The 27,914-nt window shown below is 38.2% G+C and overlaps 1 long non-coding RNA gene and 1 pseudogene across 1 annotated transcript in view; one reads left to right on the top strand and one right to left on the bottom strand.

Annotated features, from left to right (window-relative positions):
• The window catches only part of LOC105374164 (uncharacterized), a 67,936-nt gene extending 41,105 nt beyond the window's left edge, over positions 1-26,831 (bottom strand). Inside the window, exons 1-2 of the long non-coding RNA XR_924592.3 lie at positions 26,730-26,831; positions 3,505-3,576 (exon numbers count right to left, since the gene is read on the bottom strand). This is a non-coding gene — a long non-coding RNA (uncharacterized LOC105374164). The remainder of the gene's footprint in view (positions 1-3,504; positions 3,577-26,729) is intronic.
• On the top strand, positions 7,404-7,721 carry RN7SL300P (RNA, 7SL, cytoplasmic 300, pseudogene; annotated as a pseudogene).
• Positions 26,832-27,914: the final 1,083 nt, after the last annotated feature.

The raw sequence follows: 27,914 nt of genomic DNA, 5'->3' as shown, positions 1-27,914 counted from the left end.
GAGAATCGCTTGAACCAGGCAGGTGGATGTTGCGGTGAGCTGAAATCGCGCCATTGCACTCCAGCCTGGGAAACAAGAGCGAAACTCTGTCTCAAAAAAAAAAAAAAAAAAAAAACTACCCAAACCTCGTTTTCAAACTATGGATTTAATGTAGCCAGCTCTCCAATATTCATCCTAAAAGCAGCCAGGCAGAAATGTGACATTAAATATCTCATCTTATTTTTGTTTAAAAGATGTATCTATGTTAAAGTGTTTGTAATACTGAGAACAATGACTATGGATTATTTTTAAATTGTTGTTTATTCTCATTTGTGTTTACTAATGGTTCTATCATGTTTATAATTTTTGTAACAGATAAAAATAAGTTAATGGCTGAGCACGGTGGCTCACGCCTGTAATCCCAGCACTTTAGGAGGCCAAGGTGGGTGGATCACCTGAGGTCAGGATTTTGAGACCAGCCTGGCCAAGATGGCAAAACTTCGTCTCTACTAAAAATACAAAAAAATTAGCCAGGCATGGTGGTGGGCGCCTGTAATCCCAGGTACTGGGGAGGCTGAGGCAGGAGAATTGCTTGAACCTGGGAGGCAGAGGTTGTGGTGAGCCGAGATTCCGCCACTGCACTCCAGCCTGGGTGACAGAGTGAGACTCCGTCTCAAAATAAATAAATAAATAAGTTAATAAAAATGTATCTGTCCTGGCACTGTGGCTCCTGATTGTAATCCCAGCACTTTGGGAGGCTAAGGCAAGTGACTCTGTTGAGCCCAGGAGTTTGAGATCAGGCTGGGCAACATGGCAAAACTCCATCTCAACTAAAAATACAAAAATTAGCCAGGCGTGGTGGTGCATGCCTGTAGTCCCAGCTACTTGGGAGGCTGAGGTGGGAGGATCACTTGAGCTCGGGAAATTAAGGTTGCAGTGAGCCGTGATCACCCCACTGCACACCAGCCTGGGTGACAGAGTGAGATCCTGTGTCAAGAAAAAGGAAAAAATATCCAGTGGTGAACCAAACCCTAAGAGGCTTCCTTCCACCTGCCCACTAGCACACTAGCACACCCAGAGATGCTCATGATGTGAAAGGCAGAAATGGGACACATTCATTGATCAGCTAAGAGCCCCAATAGATGACAGATGCTGTGCTAAATCCTAGACAGTTTGGGGGCCTCCTTAACCTCGTAAGCCCACCTCCTGTTTTTTTTTTTGTTTTGTTTTTACACAGGGTCTAAAGACAGGCTGGAGTGCAATAGCGTGATCACAGCTGACTGCAGCCTAGACCTACTAGGCCCAAGTGATCCTCCCACCTCAGCCTCCTGAGTAGATTAGGACCACAGGTGTGTACCACCATGCTTGGCTTTTTTTTCTTTTTCTTTTTCTTTTTGGTAGAGACAGTCTCCCTGCACAGAATTCCTGGGCTCAAGTATTCTTTCTGTCTCAACCTCCCAAACTGTTGGGATTACAAGCATGAGCCACCATGCCTGGCCCCACCTCCTTTTCAAAAGCACTTTTTATTCATAGGTTTTTCCTGTCAGAACAACATGGGTAATTATTACCTAGATTCAAATTTCAAATCCACTTAAGCAAATACCAAATTTTAAAATAAGACCTCAAAAGAAACTGAAACATGAATCAAAATTAAGGCAAATCAAAGTTAATTGTAATCTAAACTAAGCACATATCCAAAATCATTTGATTTTAGTTTACCTTTTTTAAAGAAGATCTAAGAAGAAATCATTGTTAAGTATCAACTCTTGGCCAGGCATTGAGAATTTTAATTTATAAGCTGAATATAATTTAATCCTCATAATAATCGCATAATAAATGTCATTCCTTTTTTTTTTTTTTTTTTTGAGTTGGAGTTTTGCTCTTATTGGCCAGGCTGGAGTGCAATGGTGCGATCTCGGCTCACCACAACCTCTGCCTCCTGGGTTCAAGTGATTCTCCTGCCTCAGCCTCCCAAGTTTCTGGGATTATAGGGATGCGCCACCATGCCCAGCTAATTTTGTATTTTTAGTAGAGACGGGGTTTCTCCATGTTGGTCAGGCTGGTCTTGGACTCCCCACCTCAGGTGATCTGCCCGCCTCAGCCTCCCAAAGTGCTGGGATTACAGGCATGAGCCACTGTGCCCGGCCCATTCCTTATTTTCCAAATGAAGAAACTGATTCCTAGAGAGCTTAAGAAACTTAGCCAAGTCACTCAGCTGATGGAAGCAGATCTAGGATTTAAATCCACTTGTTCTGATTTCAAAGAGAAACAATCTACAGATTTCTCCTAACTACTAAAATAGGGGTAGGAGAAACATGATCTGAAGTGCCAAATACTAGATAAGTTCACTGATGATTCATTAGGTAAAGTTTCTTGTTTAAAACTATTTTTCCTCAATTATTTGTTTTATCAAGGCAACCAAAGATATAGAAAATAAATAAATAGTATTAGTCTTTCTCTGACCATTGAGAGATAATGTCTTAGGAGTCTTGAAACAGCCAAAATATTAGAGCAGAAAATAAGTAGGAATCAAAGTTCCCAGCTGACAAATAAAAAAATAAATAAGTCCATGGCCAGGCGTAGGTGCTCACGCCTTTAATCCCAGTGCGTTGAGAGGCTGAGGCATGGTGGCATGCACCTGTAGTCACAGCTACTCGGCAGACTAAGGAAAGAGGATCGCTTGAGCTCAGGAGTTCAAGCTTACAGTGAACTCTGTGTCACTGCACTCCAGCCTGAGCAACAGAATGAGACCTGGTCTCCTAAAAAAAAAAAAAAAAAAAAAGTATATGAGAAATTGAGAATGTTTTGTGACAAAATTGCACAAAGGATTATTAAGATACTTTGTTTTAATCAATATTTCCTTTTGATACTTACCACAACTAAAAAGCTAAGCTTTTATAAAACATTGAAACCGAAAAGCAAAACCTCAAGCTTCACCCATATGAGTTTGCAATAATTAAAAAGAATGGATTAGACTTTTAAAATGCAAATAAATTCTAAATACCTGGTCTAGTCATGACCTTCTAAGTCCAGTTATCTCCATGTATTGGCAGTTACTTTCATTGAGCTACCAAGTGATTTTTTTTTACTAAGTCTATTCCCTCCTTGGAGTCTAAGTTTCCTGTTTTAAAACAATAGGAACTAAGTAGCTAAAAACTCTGAAAATAGTAAATCTATCAGTTTTATTCTATATAGATTATATAAAAAACAGAAATTTTATTTTTGTTTTAGAACTTTGTCAAGTTGCCTCCTATTGAATAATAAGGAAATATAGGGGAAATGTATTTTGGAATACGCAATAAACGTATGTGTATATATATTATGTATCACACTATAAATTACAACTTAAAAATCATCTTTGTTGAAATGATACCATAACCAGGGCTGGGGGTGCCAGATAGAGAAGGTAATTCATAAGGAAGACGTGGTGCTCTCACGCATGCCATCAATCTCTCCTCCCTCCATCCTTAGTAATTCTATTAACAGGGCCATATAACTCAGTCCCATTCCCATTCGCACACATACCTTCCAGCAATATGTTGTCATTTCTTCTTCTCCTTTGACATAGCACTTACTGTTCCTTGGTACATATTCCTCCTGAAGGAACAAAGCACTTGTCATTTTACTACAGAAAGCTAGAGAACATATAGTGTTTCTCAAAAGTGGTGTTTTTGTTAATGGGGTTGGATTTCTTGGTTGGGAAGCCATTTAGCATCCCTAACCCTGGGGTACTAAATGCCAGTGACTCCTCTCCCCAGTTGCAACAACAAATTCAAATAAAACAAAACACCAGCCCATATATTTCCATGACCCCTAGGGAGACAGTGTTTCCCTGACTGTCATTCACTATATTATATTCACAGTATTTTTTTTAACTGACCCTTCTCCACATCAAGAGGGTATTTCTGATTCATAATTTGAAGTTATTTGAAGTACCTTTTCCAGAGGTGAATATAGTTTTAAATGGAGATATTGACCTCTATAACAATGAACGGAAAGACAAAAAAAAGGTAAGAACTGTGGTAATGTTTACTCAAGAGCAATTAATATCAAATATTCGTGATTTGCACTGTATAAACAATATTCTGTTAAATCAGTAGGTCTCAAAGTGAGATCTGCAAACCCTTGGAGGTCTTGGGCAAAGCTGAGCAAGTTGGTCACTCTACTGTCACTTCAAGAAAAATAACTGGCGTTACATGTCACCAATGATAAAATTTAAGCTTTCAAGCTAAACCTAGAATTTTGAAAAACTTGTATTCTCCACAATGAGCTTGTCAGTTGCCCAATACTTGAAGACATTTCTGATGAAATTGGTGATGATAAGAATAAATGTGATTTGTGATACTGCCTAAAGAAATGTCAACATTTGGAAGATCTGCAAAATCAATGAGCCAGTATTTTCTAAATGACCAATGCATGATGTTACAGAATCACGCATGGATAATGATCCATTTAAAGTGCAAGACAGTGAATGAATTTTAAGGTAACAGAGACGAGAAGTTCATTGATATGGTTTCAGATCCACATTGCAAGCAACCTTCAAGAAACTACCACTTGACAAGTTGGATATAATAAGAGAAAAAAAATCTATAATTATCTTTTTTAAAAATGCTATTTCCAACTACATATCTGGATGAGGCCAGACTGTCTTCTTATACTTCAATCAAAGCAACATTATCACAACAGATTGAATCCAGAAACAGATATTAGAATCCAAATGTATTTTCTTAGTCCAAACATTAAAGATACTTGTAAAAATGTAAAATGCATTCTTATCACTAATTATATGTTCTATAAAATATATTATTTCTTCATTAAAACATATATATGGTGGTTCACGCCTGAAGTCCCAGCACTTTGGGAAGCCAAGGCAGGAGGATCGCTTGAGCCCAGGCGTTTGACGCTGTAGTGAGCTCTGATCATGCCACTGCACTCCAGCCTGGGCAACGGAGTAAGACCCTGTCTCTAAATAATAATGTTAATGACCAGGTGCGGTGGCTCATGCCTGTAATCCCAGCACTTTGGGAGGCCGAGGTGGGCAGATCACCTGAGGTCAGGAGTTGGAGACCAGGCTGGCCGACATGGTGAAACCCCATCTCTATTAAAAATACAAAAATTAGCCGGGCTTGGTGGCATATCCCTGTAATCCCAGCTATTCGGGAGGCTGAGGCAGGAGAATCGCTTGAACCTGAGAGGCAGAGGCTGCGGTGAGCCAAGATCATGCCACTGCACTCCAGCCTGGGTGACAGAATGAGACTCTGTCTCCAAGAAAAAAAAGAAAGAAAAAGAAAAGAAAAGAAAGAAAAGAATAATGTTAATAAATAAATATAAAAAACATATTATAGATGTTAATATTAAACGATGTGTTATTTTTAAAATTAATTGTTTTAAAGAAGTTTCCTTTTTTCTAGTATGGTAAATACTAATAAATAAAATTTTCTAAACAAAAAAGGTCTTTTAATTCTCAATTTTTAAGAGCACAAAAGTGTTCTGAGAAGAAAATGAGAACTGCCACATTAGATGGTTAATGCTATGATTTTTAACCAACTCAATTTTTTCCAAATTATTACTGTTTTGGCATACTAACATTCTAGCTATGTGGACTTTTTAGTTTTAATTCTAAAAGTAATCTCTGTTAAAATAAAGAAAACTTCAAGAGAACTTTGACCCTCATATTCATTAAAATTTTTTTAAGTGAGAAAGAGTTTCAATCTTCAATGTGATATCATACATGTGATTCTTTAGCACAGTAAGAAAAATGCTGGGAGAAACTTTTGTCAGGTTCCACTGTTAGATTCCATAAGGTCAATAGAAATAATTAAATTTCAATACTGTCTTCTTAAAATGTGTAGTCTGAGGAATTTCCTTTTTTTTTTTTTTTTCCCAAGACTAAGTCTTGCTCTGTCACCCAGGCTGGAGTGCAGTGGTGCAATCTCAGCTCACTGCAACCTCTGCCTCCCAGTTTCCAACGATTCTCCTGCCTCAGCCTCCCAAGTAGCTGGGATTACAGGCGCGCATCACCATGCCCAGCTAATTATTTTTACTTTTTAGTAGACACGGGGTTTCACCATGTTGGCCAAGCTGGTCTCGAACTCCTGACCTTGTGATCCACCCACCTCGGCCTCCCAAAGTGCTGGGATTACAGGCGTGAGCCACCGTGCCCAGCACAGTCTGAGGAATTTCTAATTTCATGCTTTATGAAAATTTTAATCAGAATTTTAAAACTGGTTTCTGGTATTTTCTTCAGAGCTCATTGATTGGTGTCCTAGAAAGGCTTCAACTATCTCTTTAGCTCTTTCACTGCTCTATAAATGTAGATGGACACTTTAGCTCTTACAAAGAAAAGAAGTTCCCCCCTAAAGGTGATAAGGCTCCATGTGAGGTCATAGAGTATTGGACATCCAAGCCAGAATAACTTCATTTACTAGCTATGTGTTTGTAGGCATGACACTTAACTTCCCTTGACTCGGTTTCTCCATTTGTAAAATGGTACCAACATCCAGGTAAAGTGTTTAGAAGAATAACTGGCATATAAAAACAGTAAGTGTTAGCTCTTATTTTACGAATAAATTAAGGAAAAGTTAACTTGCAAGAATGCATCCAGATTAGAATCATAGAAATGTAGAAATCATCTATAAATATGTCTATTATTGGAACATTCATAAGGATAGAATGTGGGGTAGGGCATAATGATTTGACAGGCCTGAAGATCCAGAAATTCAAATGTAATAGAAAGTTTGTCTGTATCCAACCAAATAGCTGAAGAAACTGTTTTTTTTTGAGACCGGGTCTCACTCTGATAGCACGACCACAGCTCACTATTGTCTTGATCTCCCAGGCTTAAGCAATTCTTCTGCCTCAGCCCTCCGAGTACCTGGGACCACAGGCCTGTACCACCATGCCTGGCTAATTTCTTTTTTAAACTTTTGTAGAGAGGGGGTCTCCCTGTGTTGCCCAGGCTGGTCTTAAACTCTTGGGTTCAAGTGATCCTCCTTCCTCGGCCTACCAAAGTACTGGGATTACAGGCATGAGCCATCACGCTCAGCCAAAAACATTTTTTAAGATTCTAGGTGTAAAGAATGTCTTCATTCTTAGGTGAAGATGAATACCAATATTACTTCTATACAGTTAGTCTCTGAGCTAATTTTATATCTAATGAATTACAAATAAAATTCATGAGTTAAAGTTAAAAGACAAATTACTATGAGCCTCAATTTTTAAGAATATCAATCCATACATATATTATTTTGTTGTATATCTGTAGCAGAGACATTTTATTAGTTGCCGTTAGTGTACACAAGTAAATAGAGATTCATGTCTTAAAATATTATACCATGCCATAATTACAAATGTTCTCCACCTTGCTATGTTTCCACTGTTTCTCTTGCCAAATGACCTCAATTTGTCAACACTAAAGAAAAACAGCCAGGCGCAGAGTGGTGTGGGCCTGTAGTCCCAGCTACTTGGGAGGCTGAGGTGGGAGGATTGCTCAAGCCCAGGAGTTCTGGGCTATAGTGCAGGAGTTCTGGGCTGTAGTGCGCTATGCCAATCAGGTGTCCGCACTAAGTTCGACATCAATATGGTGACCTCCTGGGAGGGGACCACTAGGTTGCCTAAAGAGGGGTGAACTGGCCCAGGTCGGAAATGGAGCAGGTCAAAAGTCCCGTGCTGAACAATAGTGGGATCGCTCCTGTGAATAGCCACTGCATTCCAGCCTGGCAATATAGCAAGACCCCATCCCTAAAAGAAAAAAAAAAAAAAATTTAAAAAAATCATTTTCCTAGTCTGTATTCTTGTTAATATAGCACATTAAAATGTACCTTAAGTATCATAAGAATGTGACATGCTGCTACTACAGATCACATTAATTTTAATAGATGAAAACAAAAAGAAGCAAATAGGAAACAGCATAAATATTTTTTCTCATGTAACCAAATGTTTCAGTATTACTGCAGAGAAAATTTGATCTAATCTTGTCCTTATCACATTTTGGGTTCTAATGTATCAGTGGTGCCTTCAGAAATGAACATAAGCACTTTATTTTTACTCCTGTGCCTTGTACTGTATAAATGATAAGCTGGCTTTTAAGAGAGATTGCTATATTGCTTTTTCATCTTCCCTTCAGAATTTTAGGCATGAGTGTTATGCTCCATCACCTTGAATAAATGATTAATAATTCTTCTTTACCAATACAACTTCAATTATATATGATTGCTGCTGTGTTTTGCAAACTTTAAAATTATGGTGATGGACTGGTTAAAGTTATGATTTCTCTTTTTAATAAACCACCAACAGATTAAAAAGAAATATCTCAGGAGCTGCTGAATCTTCTACCACACCTAAAATTCAAGAGATATAATTTGTGAGAGCACAATATGTTCAGAATAACTATCACATAGAATACCATATGTGCAACTGGACATTCTACATGTCTAATTTCATAATTTCAATGCTAATTTCTTTTTTATGTTTGTTTTTCTTCACTATGTCCTATGCTTATGAATGCTAATTTCATAAGCATTTGAGCCAAATCTTGACCTACAGATGTCAAGAAAAAGTTTATATATGTAGAATTCTTAACAAGCAAAGTTGTTATTCTGAAAATCACTTATTTTTCTTTTATAAATATTTTATAGGATTCTTTATTTAAATAAATATAATTTTTAAAATAGGCCAGTCACAGTGGGTCATGCCTGTAATCCAGCACTTTGGGAGGCCAAGGCGGGCAGATCACTTGAGCTCAGGAGTTCCAGACAAGCCTCGCCAGTATGGTGAAATCTGTCTCTACCAAAAATACAAAAATTAGCCAGGCACAGTGGTGCTCCCCGGTAATCCCAGCTACTCGTGAGGCTGAGGCCGAGAATCGCTTGAACACGGGAGGCGGAGGGTGCAGTGAGACGAGATCGCCCCACTGCACTCCAACCTGGGTGATGAAGAGAGACCCTGCCTCAGTAAATAAATAAAATGATTACTTAATTAAATAATGTGGTATATGTTGCTATGTAAACATCCTACATATTGTACTATAATAATGTTAGAACATTAACATAAATGCATGCTAAAAGTTACACATAATCTCAAATCTATGTTGTAGACATGGTTTTTGCTTGCCTAGCATCTCTCTAGAGCATCATTCTCCTCCAGTTCTGAATCCATGTTCTTCTGATATGGAGATTTCAAACCTGAGTCCAAGAGAGGCATGTAGCCAAAGTGATTAGCTCAGGCTGAGCCGATCAGAATGAATCCCAGGCTTATGCTAGAGTATTAAAAGAGTCTAAACTGGCAGGTCCTGCCCAAGAATAAAGGCCATGAAGAATAATGCAAGGCTGACCACTAGAAAAAGAGAAATTGAATCTTGCACCATTATTTCACTCCCTGGATCCATCGCTGCCAAAATTCTGATAACCTCTGGACTTTTTAGTCACATAAGAAAGCAATTCTCATTTTTCTTTTAAGAGGCTTCAAGTTGGTTTCTACTGTTTGCAAGAAAAAGTGCTCTTATTAATACAATCCACTACTCTAGCAATTAAAAAAGAAAATACCTAACACTCAACTTGGGTAAGATTGTGATGAATCTGTTTCCCCAAATACTCCAGGGGATTGTAAATCATTTTAAAGGCTTAGAAAGTAATATGAATATAATGAACTGCATATCATGTCCTACTATTTTGCTGAAGGATACAATATGACTGGTGAAAAAATTAATTGCAGTGTTATACATGTCCTCCAAAATTAAATGCAACCTTTGTCTTAACTATTGGACAATGACTAAGAACTGTATATGATACTATGTCAATATTATTCAATTTATCAAGTCTCAAATTGTAATGATTATGCAAAAAGGAAATACCATATGAAAAGAATCAAACCAATATTGTATTTATTATAATAATTACAGCTACATAAAGTGATATGAACATAGAGGCAAGTGGTTTTCAACCCTGGATGCATATCAGAATCTCCTGAGGAGTGTTGTAAAAAAAGTAAAAAAGTTGATGCTTCAGAAATTCTGATGTAATTGGTCTGGGGTAGATCCCAGGCATTGGTATGTTTCTAAAGCTTCCCAGGTGATACTGATATGCAAGTGTTAACAAAAGCTTTAGAATTATGAAAAAGCCACTCACGATAAATCAACAAATATTTCATTTTTACATATTTGTTTATTTGCAACTTGGCATTTTCACATATCCAAAAATTCACTTATTTGGCATATTCATATCTTCACAAGTTCTTTACATGTTGGCATTTCTTTCATCCATGGTTAAACCTCAAAATCATAGTCTCTCTGGTGACTGAGAAAAAGATGGTAGCTCAATTATACCCTTGAATATAGCAGAGAAGAGAATGAGGATTTGGGGGCATCTTTTCAGGTATAAATTAATTTATGGGTACCGCAATATCTAGAATGTCCCAGTCTCTTGTTTTAATAATTTTAATGATTCTGATATTACATTTACAATTTTCATTGTTTTTAGTAGTTTAGTCATACTAGTGCCTCCATCTCTGTCCCCTTTACTGGACCCTCTAAACGTTGGAGAAAGCCAGAGCTCAGGCCTGAGCGCTCCCCACACACTGACTACTTGGGTGATCCATGCAAGTATGGCTCCCAAATATTCATCTCAGGTCTGACCTGTCTCCTGAACTCCAAATATCCAACAGCCTACTAAACATCTTCACTCGAATACTAATAAGCAGCTCCACCTTAACCAGAACTAAACTCTCAATTCTTATCCCCATACTTGATCCTTCCCCAGTGTACCTCATCTTAATAAATGATACCACCATTCACCTATCTGAACCAACCCTTGGTAACATCCATGATTCTCAATCTCAATCCCTGTGCACTTCACCAGAAAATCTCTTTGCCTATACCTTAAAAATAGATCTTGGGCTCAACTCACTTCCTATCAATTTCAATGCACTAATTTATTCCAAGACATCAGGATCTCAAACAGATTCCTATACACAGCTTCCTAACAGCCACCCTGCTTTCACTCTTGTCCCCATTGACTAAATTAGATCAGATCATTTCTCTTCCTACCTTACAACTCTCTTTCTATCACAAGCAAAATAAAACCTGTGTTTGCACCCCTGCCAGCCTCTGTGTGCTCTGGCACCTGGCTCACTCTCCGACTGCCTCTCTTAATACTCTCCCATCACTCACTGAGCCCTAGGCTCACAAGCCCCTTGATTTTCCTCAAAGATCCCAAGCCTCAGGGCCTTTTCTGTTGCTGATCTTATGCCTTAGTTGCTCTAACCCAAGATCTTTATATGGCTCAGCCCATTACACTTTTCTCAAGTGTCTATTAAAGGTAACCTCTCAGAGAGGCATTTCCTAAAAGCCTAAAGAGCTCTGCCCCTCATCACCCACAGCACTCCGTCCCTTTAAGATGTTTAATTTTCCTCTTAGCGCTTTTCGCTACCTGATATTTTACATGTAGCTACTTATTATCTGACTTCCCCATAATCTCCATGAACACAGGAGCTTGACCTGTTTCGTTTACTGAGGCATCCCTAAACTTTAATACAATGCTTGGTACACAGTAGGCAGTCAATAAATGTCTGCAGAATTACTGAATGAATCGATCAATCAGAAAACAATGAATCAAATGTGTTTTGTTTATTCCATATGGACTTAATGTTTTAGAGCAATTTTAAGTTCACAACAAAATGAGCAAAAAGTACAGAGATTTTCCGTATACGCTTAGCTGCAATACATGCATAGCCTCTCTGATTATCAGCATCCCACACCAAACAGGTACATTTGCTACAATTGATGAGCCTACACTGACTCATCCTTATCATCCAAAGCACATAGTTACGTTAGAGTTCACTCTTGGTGTGCATTCTATGGGTCTGGACACATGTATAATGACATGTATTTACCATTATAGTATCACACAGAGGAGTTCCACTGTCTCAAAACTCCTCTGTGCTCCTATTCATCCCTCCCTCCTCCTTAACTCCTGGCAACCACGAATCCTTTTACTGTCTCCACAGTTTTTCCCTTTCCAGAATGCCACACAGAGGGATTAACCAAGTGTTTTTTGTTTTGCTTTGTTTTTTCTACAGATGGCCAACTTAGGTCACAGTGCTCTTGTAGCACTGGCTTGGGAATTTAAGAGTTGCTCACCTGGGAATTGTAAATTTTATTTATTTATATGACAGTGATTAAAAATAACTTACAGCCAGGCGCAGTGGCTCACGCCTATAATCTCAGCACTTTGGGAGGCTGAGGCAGGTGGATCATGAGGTCAGGAGTTTGAGACCAGCCTGGCCAACATGGTGAAACCTTGTCTCTACTAAAAATACAAAAATTAGCCTGGCGTGGTGGTGCACGCCTGTAGTCCCAGCTACTCAGGAGGCTGAGGCAGGAGAATCGCTTGAACCCGGGAGGCAGAGACTGTAGTGAGCCAAGATCGCACCACTGCACTCCAGCCTGGGCAACAGAGCGAGACACTGTATCAAAATAATTAAATAAAAATAAAAATAAAAATAACTTACAACGACCGAGCGCAGTGTCTCATTTCTATAATCCCAGCACTTTGGGAGGCCGAGGCGGGTAGATCACTTAAGGCCAGGAGTTCAAGACCAGCCTAGCCAACATGATGAAACCCCATCTCTACTAAAAAATACAAAAATTAGCCGGGTGTAGTGGCGCATCCCTGTAATCCCAGCTACTCGGGAAGCTGAGGCACAAGAATCACTTGAACCTGGAAGGCGGAGGTTGCAGTGAGCTGAGATGGCACCACCGCACTGCAACCTGGGTGACAAAGAGTTGCTCTTTTTTCTCCTGTCAGCTCAGGTTGTTGCCTTGATTTCAGAGAAGTTGTGTTAAAAAAATAAGAATTTTGGCTGGGCGCGGTGGCTCATGCCTGTAATCCCAGCACTTTGGGAGACCGTGGCAGGCGGGTCATGAGGTCAGGAGATTGAGACCATCCTGGCTAACACAGTGAAACCCCATCTCTACTAAAAATACAAAAAATTAGCTGAGCGTGGTGGCGGGCGCCTGTAATCCTAGTCACTCGTGAGGCTGAGGCAGGAGAATCGCTTGAACCCGAGAGGCGGAGGTTGCAGTGAGCAGAGATCACACCACTGCACTCCAGCCTGGGTGACAGAGTGAGATTCCGTCTCAAAATAAATAAATAAATAAATAAATAAATAAATAAATAAATAATAATAATAATTTTATTTAAAATATTATTTAATATAGAGATAGTGGTCTCAGTATGTTGCCCAGCCTGGTCTCAAATGTCTGGCCTCAAGCAATACCCCCACCTTGGCCTCCCAAAGTGCTGATATTACAGAGGTGAGCCACCACACCTGACGCGGAGAAGCTCTCAATACTCATGCTCATTTTAAAGTAGGCAGTTAAGGCAGATAACTCAATCAACTATGGTAGGACTAGGAAGGATTAAGTCTGTGGTCTTCTCTGGACCACACCATTCCTTAGAGACTTGGCTGAGTCTTGCCTAACAGATGCAGACATACACATGTTATGTGCCCTTTGTAGTTCCCTTGTCTTCTGTCATGACATTTACTGTAGCTCCCAGAGTGTAATAAAAGAAAAGGCCTGGCCGGGCATGGTAGCTCACGCTTGTAATCCCAGCACTTTGGGAGGCCAAGGCAGGCAGATCATAAGGTCAGGAGTTGACACAATCCTGGCCAACACAGTGAACCCCCGTCTCAACTAAAAATACAAAAATTAGCTAGGCGTGGTGGCAGGCACCTGTAATCCCAGCTACTTGGAAGGCTGAGGCAGGAGAATCACTTTAACCCGGGAGGTGGAGGTTGCAGTGAGCCGAGATGGCACCACTGCACTCCAGCCTGGGCGACAGAGGTAGACTCCATCTCAAAAAAAAAAAAAAAAGAAAGAAAGAAAAGAAAAGAAAAGGCCAGCAGAAAGTTAAGATTAGGTTCATATATGGTTCTACTCCTCACTGTGAGTATGGCCTTGGGCAAGTTATTTAACCTCTTTGGCTTCAGTTTTCTCATCTGTAAAACAGACATGATTATAGTAATTAGATTACACTTCATAGAGTTGTAATGGTTAAATGACTTGATAAGTAAAAAATATTCAGAACAGTGCCTGGAACATAACAAACACTATGTAAGTGTTAATGATAAGTGTTAATGATTTTATCACTATTATATGTGCCTCAGCTTCCAATGTATGTCTGTGTTTTGACTGGACTAAGTGATAAATTTTCATTAAGTTCAAATTCTCCCTCAATGCTTCTCACATAAATCTGAGTTAGGAATTCCTTTAATCTCACATTGGATCATTATGTAGTTAAAGTAACAAACAATGAAATTACATTATTTAAACTTTGAAATTCAAATTCTAATAGACATTTTTTTTTTTCCTGATCCTAAATATGCCTGTGTTTGCTAGAAGTGCCATAAGAAAGTATCACAGACGTGGTGCCTTAGACAACAGATATTTATTTTCTGGCTGGGCACAGTGGCTCATGCCTATAATCCCAGCACTTTGAGAGGGGAGTTCGAAACCAGCCTGGGCAACATGGTGAGACCCCCATCTCTACCAAAAAAAAAAAAAAAAAAAAAAATTACCCTGGTGTGGTGGCGTGCACCTGCCCAGCTACTCAGGAGGCTTACGTGGGAGGATCCCTTGAGCCTGGGAGGTCGAGGCTGCAGTGAGCTGTCATCAACCACTGCACCCCAGGCCTGGGTGACAGAACAAAAGCCTGTCTTAAAAAAATAAATTTAAAAATTTTTCAGTTATTTCTCACAATTCTGGAGGCTAGAAGTCTGAGATCAAGGTGTAGGTAGGGTTGGTTTCTCCCAAGGCTTCTCTCCTTGGCTTATAATGGCTATCTTCTCCCTATGTCTTCACATGGTCTTACTTCTCTATGTGCCTGTCCTAATTTCTTTTTCTTCTAAGGATATCAGTAAAATTGGATTATGACTCACCCTAATGACCTCATTTTAATTTAATTACCTCTATAAAAATTCTGTCTCCAAATACAGTCACATTCTGAAGTACTGAGGACATGAACATATGAATTTTGGATGGACATAATTCAGCCCATTAAAATACTACATCACTTATATCTAACTACTTTTTTATAAAGCTGGAATAACTTGATACCTAAATACAGTATATGAACTCTATCATAATTATAAGTCAGTGCAAATAATTAAAAATTGTGGGAAAACACAATTATTGATACCAAATCCATGTGAAAAGAGGTCTTCCCCAAATTAAATAAAACGGAATGCCAAGTCATAGCTTAACTATAATGATGAATAGCATCATAGATAAATGAATTTCCTATAACTATTTCTCTATTTCACAGAAAATAATATTTTTAAGAGTTTATTTATAAACTGTCAGTGAAGATATGCCAAATGCCAAAAAAACTATAAAAAGATGATGAAGTTATATTTTGGTACTTGAAAAATGGTGATGTTAAATAATTTTTAAGGCTAATTTAAAATTAACTTTAAAAATAGGTGTAAAGATAATAAAATTTGAAAATGCAGAAGACATTAATTCAATTTAAAAATTTAGGTTGGTTTCAGAAATACTTTAGTGTTTTTTTAAATTAAAATTATTACTTTATAAGTCCTGAATCAACTTTTTTGTCTTGCTATTAGCTGCCAATTTACAAATGGGTTGGCCCCTGAATCTATGTGTATATTAATGCAAACTTGGGGATAACAGAACAAAAGTTATCAATAGAATATTAAGAGTTACAGATTTTAGTCCTAGATTCCAACCAGACTTACTCGATTAATATTTAAAACAAAAAAATGGAAATATTTGGAGGAAAAAATATAATAAATTGAAGCAGGGACTGTATTATAAACTTTAGAATAGGTTTTGTCTGGGATTAAATAAATTTGTTCAGGAGCTAGGCTCAAATAAGTCTTGAGTAGAAAATCATTTTAAGACAAAAACAGATTGTAGTACCATCTGCTCTTCTAATATATCATTTCTTCCATAACATGAAGGGACAAAGATCATCTGTTATGCATTTTCTTGCTTTTAGTGATTAATACAAGATCTAGATAATAAACCAGATTTTCCTAAATCCCTTTGCCACTACAAAAAAAATTACAGATAAAATCCCATAATTTCTAATGCACAAGTAACTCTGATGTGAAGCAAGGACTTAAGAATTTTGAATGAAAAGTTTTAAGTGCTGTAGGAGTTACTGATGTACAGTTCAATCTATTTGCAACTAATAGCCAAAGAGATGAATTCTAAAGTGCAAGGCCTGAGCTATTCACCATAAAATGCCTTGTTTAATGCTTCTTTAATGAAATCAAATCGTTAAGATAATGAAAACAAAGAGAAAGGTCAAGTCACTGAGGATAAGCCAGTTAACCTTATATCTTATTGCATATAACAGCACAGAGTAAGAAACCAATCTTCATACATTAACTTTATTTCATATTCCTAATGCTTATGAATAAATCATCCGTAATTAAATAATATGCACTGCTTTTCTGAAAAACTACTATTAGTAGTTAGAATTGGTTTGTGTTTTTCAGATTTGATATGTATCTGCCAGGGAACTCCCGATGGAGTCAAAGTGGTATGCTGTACCCTTGGGCACTTACTGAATCTATCTGAGTATCTGAGAAACAATGAGAGAAAGAGAAGCTAATAAAGACTTTAGTAAAACAGCTCAAGATAATTCTCTCAACTCCCTAAATTAGCCTGAAATTACATTTCATTTCACACAAAAGAAAGCAACAAGTAATTTCACTATACTGTTATAACCCCCTCTCACAATATTTCATTTTCCAGAAATCAAATTCAGATGCTGTATATTGCAAAAGTACTTGTGGGTATATGGACATATACCTCCATTAGCACAAAATTGAAAGGCCACTTTATTTGTCTTTTGCTCCCAAATACTTTTTTTCTTTTGAGATGGAGTCTTGCTCTGTCATCCAGGCAGGAGTGCAGTGGCACTATCTGGGCTCACTGCAACCTCCGCCTCCTGGGTTCAAGCGATTCTCCTGCCTCAGCCTCTGAGTAGCTGGGATTACAGGCATGCACCACCACACCCAGCTAAGTCTTTGTAGTTTTAGTAGACAGGGTTTCACCATTTTGGCCAGGCTGGTCTCAAACTCCTGACCTCAAATGATCCGCCCGCCTCAGCCTCCCAAAGTGCTGGGATTACAGGCGTGAGCCACCTCGCCCAGCCTTCTCCCAAATTCTAAACTGTATTTGCAAAAAAGAAATTTAAAACTACAAATAACATTGCCATTTATCTTTTAGCAGCATGCTTAAAACACATGTAAAAATAAACTTCATCCTTCTGGAATTTTGCTGATTTTCACCTAAGAAATATATACAAATTTAAGGTTTTTCTTTTATTGAAGTTTTATTCTTTATCTGAAGTCAAATGGTAATGGTTCGAGTCTGTTTTTGGAAACTAAAATAAATCAAAATGAAAAGGTAAGCGTTTATTTTCTCCATATGAAATTTATCCCATTTCCCATTGTTTTCTACACAATAGGACATTTCAAGTTAAAAAGCTACTTTCACTGTGAACAAATGACCCGTAAGAGCAGCAATCAGCTTTTTTTCTGCAGAAACCTTCACTAGTGATGATCTCCATAGACACACTCCCAAGAAGTCTCTAAAATGTTCACTCTAACTTCATTCATTTTTTTCCTTTCAAGAGAGTTCATGAGAATGCAAGTGAATGTGAGTAAAAATCTCATCATAAAATAGTTCATCTTGAATATACTCTGCTTATAAAGAAAATAAGTAACCTAGCCAGGCTTGGTGGCTCACACCTGTAATCCTAGCACTTCGGGAGGCCGAGACAGGCAGATCACTTGAGTTCAGGAGCAAGACCAGCCTTGGTAACCTGGTGAAACCTGGTCTCTACAACAAAATATAAAAATTGGCCAGGGCCGAGTGCAGTGGCTCACTCCTGTAATCCCAGCACTTTGGGAGGCCAAGGGGGGGTGGGTCACCTGAGGTCAGGACTTCGAGACTAGCCTAGCCAACATTGTGAAATCCCATCTCTGGTAAAAAAAAAAAAAACAAAATTAGCCAGCCGTGGTGGTGTGCACCTGTAATCCCAGCTACTCGGGAGGCTGAGGCAAGAAAATCGCTTGAACCCAGGAGGCAGAGGTTGCAGTAAGCCAAGATCGTACCACTGCACTCCAGCTTGGGCAGCAAAGTGAGACTCTGTCTCAGAAAAAAAAAAAAAGAAAAGAAAATTAGCCAGGCATGGTGGCACTCATCTGTAAGTCCCAGCTACTTGGGAGGCTGAGGCAGGAGGATTGCTTGACCCTGGGAGTTTGAGGCTGCAGTAAGCTGTGATTGTGCCACTACACTTCAGTCTCAATAGAGCAAGACCCTGTCTCAATTTTAAAAATAATAATTAAAAAATGAAGAAAGAAAAGTTACCATTCCTCCAAGTTTCATAATGTAATTACTATCAGTAAATAATTACTTATGATACATTGATATATTGCAACCCTTCAGTGGAGATACATATTTTGGATTTTTTTTTTTTTTTTTTTTTTGAGATGGAGTTTAGCTCTTTTTGCCCAGGCTGGAGTGCAATGGCACAATCTCAGCTCACCACAACCTCTGCCTCCCGGGTTCAAGCGATTCTCCTGCCTCAGCCTCCCGAGTAGCTGGGATTACAGGCATGCACCATCATGCCTGGCTAATTTTGTATTTTTTAGTAGAGACAGGTTTTCTCCATGTTGGCCAGGCTGGTCTCGAACTCCCGACCTCAGGTGATCCTCCTGTCTCGGCCTCCCAAAGTGCTGGGATTACAGGCTTGAGCTACCATGCACGGCCTTGGATTATTTTTAAGATAAGATTTTCCTGTGTATATTCAATTTTGAAAACTAAATCTCATGATTCCTATTAAATATACCTATATTTTTCAGACCCGTATTTTAGAGCTATTAAAGACAATTTTCCCATGCACAAGCTAAGAAAATACATTCAGTTGTACTTTCCAGAATTCAAGCCTGAAACATTTATCTCATTGTCTTGTTTCAGGTAATATCTACCATATTCACAACAATCTCTTAAAATTAGTACATGACTTGAAACCAATTATTTAAAACCAATTATTTAAATAATTGGTTAAAATTATTTAAAAATCTGAAATGCTTGAATGTATTGAGTTCTTAAGATTAATATTTTGTAAGCTACTCCCATTACTCTTTTAAACCTACAGCATAACTGACTGATACTATGCTCTAATTAAAACACTATACATTATAGTTTGATTCAACAAAAGAATAAATTAAAAGTTGCCTTCAATAAAATAAAAATCTCAATTACATTCCAAACATCCACCCAAAGTATTTAATTAAAAAACAAGGCTTTTATCTTTTGACTCTAGCTAAGGAAGCACATTCACGAATGACAGTTAGGCACCCAAAATTTAATTTTTAAAAAGGATTGTGTTTGTAGCATTTATAAATGGATGCCTTAATTGCACTGACATGATTGTTGCAAACTAAAAGTGACTCCATTAATCAAATGATAGAAAAAGTTACTAAAAAAATAAAAATCTAGCTGGATGTGGTGGTGCATAACTACAGACCTAGATACTCAGAAGGTTAAGGTATCAGGATCTCTTGAGACCAGGGCTTTCAGGCCAGCGTGGGCAACATAGTGAGAACTCATTTCAAAACAAATTTTTTTTTTAAATTCCTGCTAATCTTCCTAATAAATGCAAAACGAGTTCCTACGAAGTGAAGCAACTTTAAATGTAGAGCTAGAATATGGGCATCTTGCTTAAGTGAACTTGTGACAAACACTATCCTTCAGTGAGTTTAATGACACCAACTGACAATCTAACAATCAAATGGGAGAATAAAGAATAAAACTATTCCAGATTAATGCATGTGATAGTAAACAAATGTAACTTGCTGAACAATGTTTACAACATTGCATTCCACTTTCTCTCCCTCACAACTACATGAGGATAGATTACCATTTAATATTTGCAAAGCAGACCTAATTTGGAAAGAAATATTCTAGACACATTGTGAGCCACAATTATTTAAATAAGAGTTTTATATGAGTGTGTGGAAAAATTTCCTGGAAAAAAATTAAGAGAAATTCCTTCCTTGGGCAAGTGATTTGTCTGCTTCAAAACAGATGTTAGAGTTAAAAATATATAATTTATTTTCAAAGCAATTTATAGGAAAACTGATTATCATTTTTCAACTATGACAAAAAATTGTAAGAGTTTTACAAAAAGTTTTGTTTATTGATATAGTGTGTGACATTTTAGAGTTAGATTTTAAGTGGATATGAGTAGAATGTAGGAATCAACAGGAAAATGTAAGTGGCTTCACCAGACATAATCTGTATTTCTTTTGCTTGCTGCCATTCTATGCTCATACCTGATTTTATAAATGAACAAGACAAGCACTTTATCTTTAGAAAGTATTGAAGAGAAAACTGTAGAAATAAATCACTATGAAAAGGTTAGTTTTAACATAATAGTTTCATTTGAGAAAAACTGGACTTTAAACAAATCTGTTTACTTATAAAGTAATGATTGAATCATTTTTATGCTAAACATTACAGTCATAATAAAAAAACTAAGCAATAAAATCGTGAAGAAATGCCAATAACTATATCTGGGGCAAAGACTCAGACAGAGCTGTCATGATTGCCTTTAATGAACTACAAATGTGGATTAGCATTTTTAAAACAACTATTATCATGGTCATCTAATTTTTTAAAAAAGTTTAAATCCCTTTAATTAACAGAGTAAGACAATCAAATGGGAAAATCAAAAGTACAAAAATCATAATATACCAACTACTTGGTTTAAGAATGTAATATAATCTATTTTTTTCTACAACAGAAACAACATGAACCACAGCTATATTTGTTGTACACAAATATTTAAAATTAGTTAGCATTTCAGGAGCAGCAGTATAGGAGGCACATGAGAATAAGAACATCATTATTGGGCCAGGCATGGTGGCTCATGCCTGTTATCTCAGCACTTTGGGAGGCTGAGGAAGGCAGATCACTTGAGGCTAGGAGTTCAAGACCAGCCTGGCCAACATGGTGGAACCCCATCTTTATTAAAAAACACAAAAATTAGCCAGGTGTGGTGGCACACACATTTAACCCTACCTACTCAGGATGCTGAGGCATGAATCGCTTGAACCTGGGAGGCATAGGCTGCAGTGAGCTGTGATCATGCCAGAGAATAGACATATTAGAAAACTAGCTCAGTTGGCCGGGTGTGGTGGTTTGTACCTGTAATCCCAGCACTTCGGGAGGCCGAGGCAGGTGGATCTATTCAGCTCAGGAGTTTGAGATCACCCTGGCCAACATAGTGAAACCCTGTCTCTACTAAAAATACAAAAATTAGCAGGAGTGGTGGTGCATGCCTATAATCCCAGCTACTTGGGAAGCTGAGGCATACGAATAACTCGAACCCCAGAGGCAGAGGTTGCAGTGAACCAACATCACACCTCTGCACTCCATCCTGGGTGACAGAGTGAGAGAAAGGAAAGGGAAAGGGAAAGGAAAGGAAGAAGGAAGGAAGGAAAGAGAGACAGAAAGAGAAAGAAAGAGAGGGAGGGAGGAAGGAAGGAAGGGAGGGAGGGAGGAAGGAAACAAACCAGCTCAGTGTCTTTTTATCTGCTCAACCTCATAAATTATTTAAATTCTCTGGGATAAAAAAGAAGAAACATTGTCTACATGTAGTATTATGTCAAGGATTATATGAGATTACATAAATATATATATATATATACATATATATATATATATATATATATATATATATATAAATAAAACCTGGCACACAGCAGGTGCTAAATAAACCATTGTTGTTGAAATTGATTGGTACAGTTGACAGATAAAATTATCTGTGCATCAACCCAGAAATACAACAGAAGGCCAGGCGCAGTGACTCATACCTGCAATCCCAGCACTTGGGGGGCCACGGCAGGCAGATCACTTGAGCCCAAGAGAAAGAGACCAGCCTGGGCAACATGGCGAAACCCCATCTCTACTAAAAATACAAAAGTTAGCTGGGTGTGGTGATGTGCACCTATGGTCCCAGCTACTGGCAGGGCTGGGGTGGGAGGACTGCTTGAGCCCAGAAGGTCAAGGCTGAAGTGAATGGTGATTGCACCATTGCACTCCAGCCTGGGCGACAGAGTGAGACCCTGTCTCAAAAAAAAAAAAAAAAAAAAAAAAAAAAAAAAAAAGGCTTAATCTTATCTGTGAGGCTTTTGGGCCCACAATTTAATTACACATTGGATGCAGAATATGCTATCCATTCACTGGCACTCCAAATTTCCTGGACTCCTATTTCCCCAAATGTATATTTTATTAAGAGAGAGATAAAAAGTATGAAACAATTCAACTGTCATTGAACCACGTCATATTTATTTGGTATCCAGACTCTTAAAACATAACATTCTAGCCGGGCGCAGTGGCTCACGCCTGTAATCCCAGCACTTTGGGAGGCTGAGGCGGGCGGATCACGAGGTCAGGAGATCGAGACCATCCTGGCTAACACGGTGAAACTCTGTCTCTACCAAAAATACAAAAAATTAGCTGGGCGTGGTGGCGGGCGCCTGTAGTCCCAGCTACTCGGGAGGCTGAGGCAGGAGAATGGCGTGAACCCGAGAGGCGGAGGTTGCAGTGAGCTGAGATCATGCCACCGCACTCCAGCCTGGGCGACAAAGCAAGACGCTGTCTCAAAAACAAAACAAAACAAAACAAAACAAAACATACATTCTAAAATTAAATTTGGTTTAAAACTATTCATTGATATTCATAAAATAGGACCTGATTTTCAGTGACACTAAATTTCTCTAAGCACTGACATTCATGTTGAAATGAGAACTGAAGAATTCAGGGTAGTCAAAATGAATCATTAGGAATTAGACACATTTTCAAACTTTTTAATTCAAAGAGATGCTAAGGTTTCAACCTTGGTTTCTTTTGATTATTGAAAACAAAACCTTCTTTTAAGTCCAAATTCTCTACCTTAGAAAACAATTATTTTTAAAGCTCTTTTCCATAATCATAATTTTTTTCTACAATGAAACCTTTGAAATCCAGAGAAATTATTTAATCTTGAGAAGCTGTCTCATGTATATCAAAAAAAAAAGTAGAGAGAGAAGTAAGGAACAAGACAGTAATAAACTTTCACATATAAACTCACTTATGAATTACATGGTATACATCTGAGATATTCAAAGGGAGGACTATGTCCAGTGAAGACCATCAGCAACATCATGGAGCATGTTAGAATTACAGAATCTCAAACCTATTCAATCAGGACCTGCATTTTAGAAAAATTTCTGGGTGACTTACATGCATATTAAAGTTTGAGCTACAATGGTAAAACAATCTGACACACTAATATTAAGAACATCTGGTTTTTTCTTTTCTTTTCTTTTCTTTTTTTTTTTTTTTTTTTTTTGAGACTGAGTTTTGCTCTGTTGCCCAGGCTGGAGTGCAGAGGCGTGATCTTGGCTCACTTCAACCTCCACCTCCCAGGTTCCATGATTCTCCTGCCTCAGCCTCCTGAGTAGCTGGGATTACAGGCGCTTGCCACCACACCTAGCTAATTTTTGTATTTTCAATAGAGACAGGGTTTCAATATGTTGGCCATCTGGTCTCAAGCTCCTGATCTCAAGTGATCACCTGCCCTGGCCTCCCAAAGTGTTGAGATTACAGGCATGAGCCACCACACCCAGTCCTTTCCTTTTCTTTTCTTTTTACTTTTTGTTCTTTTCTTTCTTTCTTCCTTTTTTTTTTTGACAGGTCTCACTCTATTGCCCAAGCTGGAGTGCAGTAGTGCAATCATAACTCACTGCAATTTTGAACTTCTGAGCTCAAGCGATCTTCCCACCTCAGCCTCTCCAGTAGCTGGAAGTACAGGCATGTGCCACCATGCCCGGCTATTTTTTTTATTTTTTTATTTTTAGTAGAGACTGAGGTCTCACTATGCTGCCCAGGTTGGTCTTGAACTCCTGAGTTCAAATGATCCTCCTACCTCAGCCTCCCAAAATGCTGGGATTACAGGTGTGAGTCACCACCCACCCCCAAACCCCCAACTGCCACCCTGATTTTTACATCATAATAATGAAATCAAGTGGATTCAGTGATGAAATTACTCTGTATACTTAAAAGCCAGGAAATCTGGGCTGAAAGGCACTTCAAAACTAAAATTTCCCCTAAACCTCTACTCGCAGGAAAAGTAGATAGAAGGGAAAAAAACCTATTAGAGATCCAGTTCATCCTTAGTTAAAATTCTCTCTTTCCTCTCACTCAACCATCACTTTTCTTTTTCTTTTTAGAGCCCAAGAAGCCAATTTCAGAAAACTGAGTTAAATTGCATCAGAAAGCAGCTTTCTGCCGAAGTCGGATTACTGACAACACAAAAACTCTTTTTTTAAAAAAAGAGATCACCCAATTATCTGGCTTTATTTCACAGGGGGCAGAAACTTTATGCTATTTCTAGCGATGCAACATAGGTATATGAAATAAATTCTTTCAGGCAACTCTAAGAATGCTATATTTGGAGGCAAAATAAACCAGTTGTTCTCAGGATGAAAGCAATAAATGGCCATCCAAATTACTCAAGAAAGTAATATTGAGTTTTTGTCTTCTTTTACAGAGTAGATGATTACCTCAAGTTCTAGAGGATCAGAAATAGTTTAAACTGAGCTCCACAGGAAGTAGGAAATAAGACTCATCATGTCCTACCCAAGAGAATCTGAACAGCTGCTCTTTAATTTGGGAGACTGGGTGATGACTGTGACAAGTGAAAGTGCCTAAGATTTAACTGCGTTGAAGTCTTAACATTTTTTATACCCTATTTGACAAAATGGGAGAAAGGGGAGATTAACCGCAGGGGAGAGGAGAAACCTAAACACAGAGAGATTTTCCCTATCCTTTATGTAATAGCATTGATTCCATGGTAGGAATTTAGCACATATATTTAGGAAATAAGTGTGTAAAATATGTTCTCATCCCTTGATAGGCCATTAATCACTACAGGATTAAGCAAACCAACCATCCAATATCCACCAGAATTCATCTGTTGAGACTAAAATACCATCAGGCCCCTACTTCTCTTCCTCATTTCTAGTCCTTCTCAGTGCTCACCTTCAAATCATCAAAATAGTTTCCTTAAAATACTTGATTTAAAATAAAAGCAATTAAAATATTTTTAAATGGTCAAAGAAAGTCATTATACAATTGGGAATATATTATTTTCATCCATGCCCAATTTTTCCACATTATCATTTGAAATTCAATTACATAATTTATGCTGAGGGGTCTGAGTTTTCATGTAATCATTCAAGGATGCAAAATAGATTAATTAAATTTGGGGGAATCTATCTTTATCTCCATTCAAAAAAGATTAATATATTTTCTCCAAATTACAGAATTAGAGAACTTAATCATGGATTTATGGATAAACCACACATACTTTTGAAATAGAGTGAATTATCAGCAAAGAACCCACAGCCTATTATCTCCACTGATTTGTCTCCCAGTACATATTTTTATGCCTTTCTCTCAACAAACATGGTCTTTTGTTAGTTTCACAGTCATCTAACAGAGAGGTACAAGGGAGAAATATTTTGTAATTGAGGATCTTTGTCCTCAAAACCTCCTATTATCAGGAAGATAATAAAATATATTATATATTACTCTTTTCAAGGTGATATTGTAATTCAAATGTTACTTTTATGTACAGATCAGATCTCCCTACACAGAATGGAGAGCTTGATGGTTCACAGTTGCATTGTAGATGTCAGAAACATGGCTGATTTTGGAATAAGAAATTAAAATACAACATAAAAATGAGACAGATGAAGTATCATAAAGTCATCCATTCTTTACTGTCCTGTAAGTGTTAGAATCCCTGTGAGATCAAACAGGCATCCTCTTTCAGGGGTCACAAAGGCAGGCTGCAGTAGAGGTTATGTTGAACTGGGAATCTGGTTTCATTTCTAGCTTAGGCCAGCTTTGTTAAACAAAGTCATATTTCTGGGCATTAGTACTACTGTCTTTAAATTACTGACTATATCAGTGATTCTCAAATTGCAAACCCTGGACAAGTGGCATCAGTTATCTCCTGAAAAATTTTTGGAAATACTAATTTTTGGCACCCACCTACTTACCGAACCAGAAACTCTGGGCATGGGGTTTGACAATTTGTGTTTTAATAAGCCTGCCAAGTGATTCAAATGCACTTTTAAGTGTGGAGATCATTGGATTGTGTAATCTAGCCATGTGGTAATTAGCAAGGAGAACCACCTATTATGTCACTTCAGCTTGTTAAGTCAAAGACTGTGCCTTACTTAGTCTTAGGACCTAGAATGCCTCAATGAATGAATGAATGAATGAATGAATGAATGAATGAGGATATCATGTTCATAATGAAGTAATCACATCTCCCCCAAATTCCAATTGCACTTTATGACCATCTTATGGCAAATGTCACTTTTATTAGTTATTACTGTCATTTGTGCATATGTCTTTATCTTGTCTACAAAACAGCCACCATCCATAACAAGTTTTTATTTCTATATCTCATCAAGCAGTGATTCTCAAACACTACCATGAATAAAAGTACCTGGAGGGTAAAAATTATTAGTCCCCACCCTCAGTGTTTCTGATTAAGTCTGAGGTGGGACCTGAGAATCTGCATATTTAACAAAGTGCTGCTGATGCTGCTGGTTCCAGGACCCCACTTTGAGAACCACTGCCACAAGCATACCTCATCAGGTGCGTAGAAAATTCCAGTGTGAGGCCAGGTGCAATGGCTTACGCCTGTAATCCCGGCACTTTAGAAGGCCTAAACAGGCAGATCACTTGAGCTCAGGAGTTCGAGACCAGCCTGGGTAACATGGCGAGACCCCATCTCTACTAAAAAATGCAAAAAATTAGTTGGGCGTGGTGGCATGCACCTGTGGTCCCAGCTACTCAGGAGGCTGAGGTGGGAGGATGCCTTGAGCCCGGGAGGCGGAGGTTGCAGTGAGCTGAAATGGTGCCACTGCATTCCCACCTGGGTGACAGAGTGAGATCCCACCTAAGAAAAAGAAAAAAGAAAGACAGAAGAAAAGTAAAGGGAAGAAAGAGAATAAAGGGAGGGAGGGAGGAAGGAAGGGCAAGAAAGAGAAAATTCCAGTGTGAGAGTGTTATAACACAAATTTGAATCATTAAAAAGTAGCAAGTTTTTAAATATGATTTAATTTTGATATATAGCTTTTTCAGAATCATATCCACTGTATAAACCAAGGCACACCTGCATTTGGAAAACCAGTGCAGAAGAGGACATAGGTCTATAAAACAATGCAGTATACTTCTTTCCTCAAAATTCTGAAACTATTTTGACTTTGCTTTTGACAACTGTACAAAAGTTTAAGTCCAATTAACACTATAATTATGAGCATTGCCATTCCAAGCTATAAGTTTTCAGAACTGATAAAGAAAAGAACAGCCTACAACATTTTCTTTTTTTTTTTTTTTTCTTTGAGATGGAGTATCACTCTTTCACCGAGGCTGAAGTGCAGTGGCGCCATCTTGGCTCACTGCAACCTCCGCCTGCCGGGTTCAAGCAACTCTCTTGTCTCAGCCTCCTGAGTAGCTGGGACCACAGGCGCATGCCACTATGCCCAGCTAATTTTTGTATTTTTAGTAGAGACAGGGTTTCACCATGTTGGCCAGGCTGGTCTCGAACTCCTGACCTCGTGATCCACCCGCCTCTCCCTCCCAAAGTGCTGGGATTACAGGCATGAGCCACAGTGCCTGGCTACAGATTTTCATTCTATAATATTTGCCTGAAGTTGACCCAGAGCTTTGAAATACAGGCATTCCAATTCTTCCGGTAATTGTAATTTATTTTTAGCGTTGCAGTCAAAATTACTTTCTTTCCCCTTATCAATAATTTTTTCACTCATTC

Source organism: Homo sapiens, chromosome 3, assembly GCF_000001405.40.
Source record: "Homo sapiens chromosome 3, GRCh38.p14 Primary Assembly".
Lineage (NCBI taxonomy): Eukaryota > Metazoa > Chordata > Mammalia > Primates > Hominidae > Homo > Homo sapiens.
The sequence above is the reverse complement of the archived record's forward strand: the minus strand, read 5'-3'. Positions and strand labels throughout refer to the sequence as shown.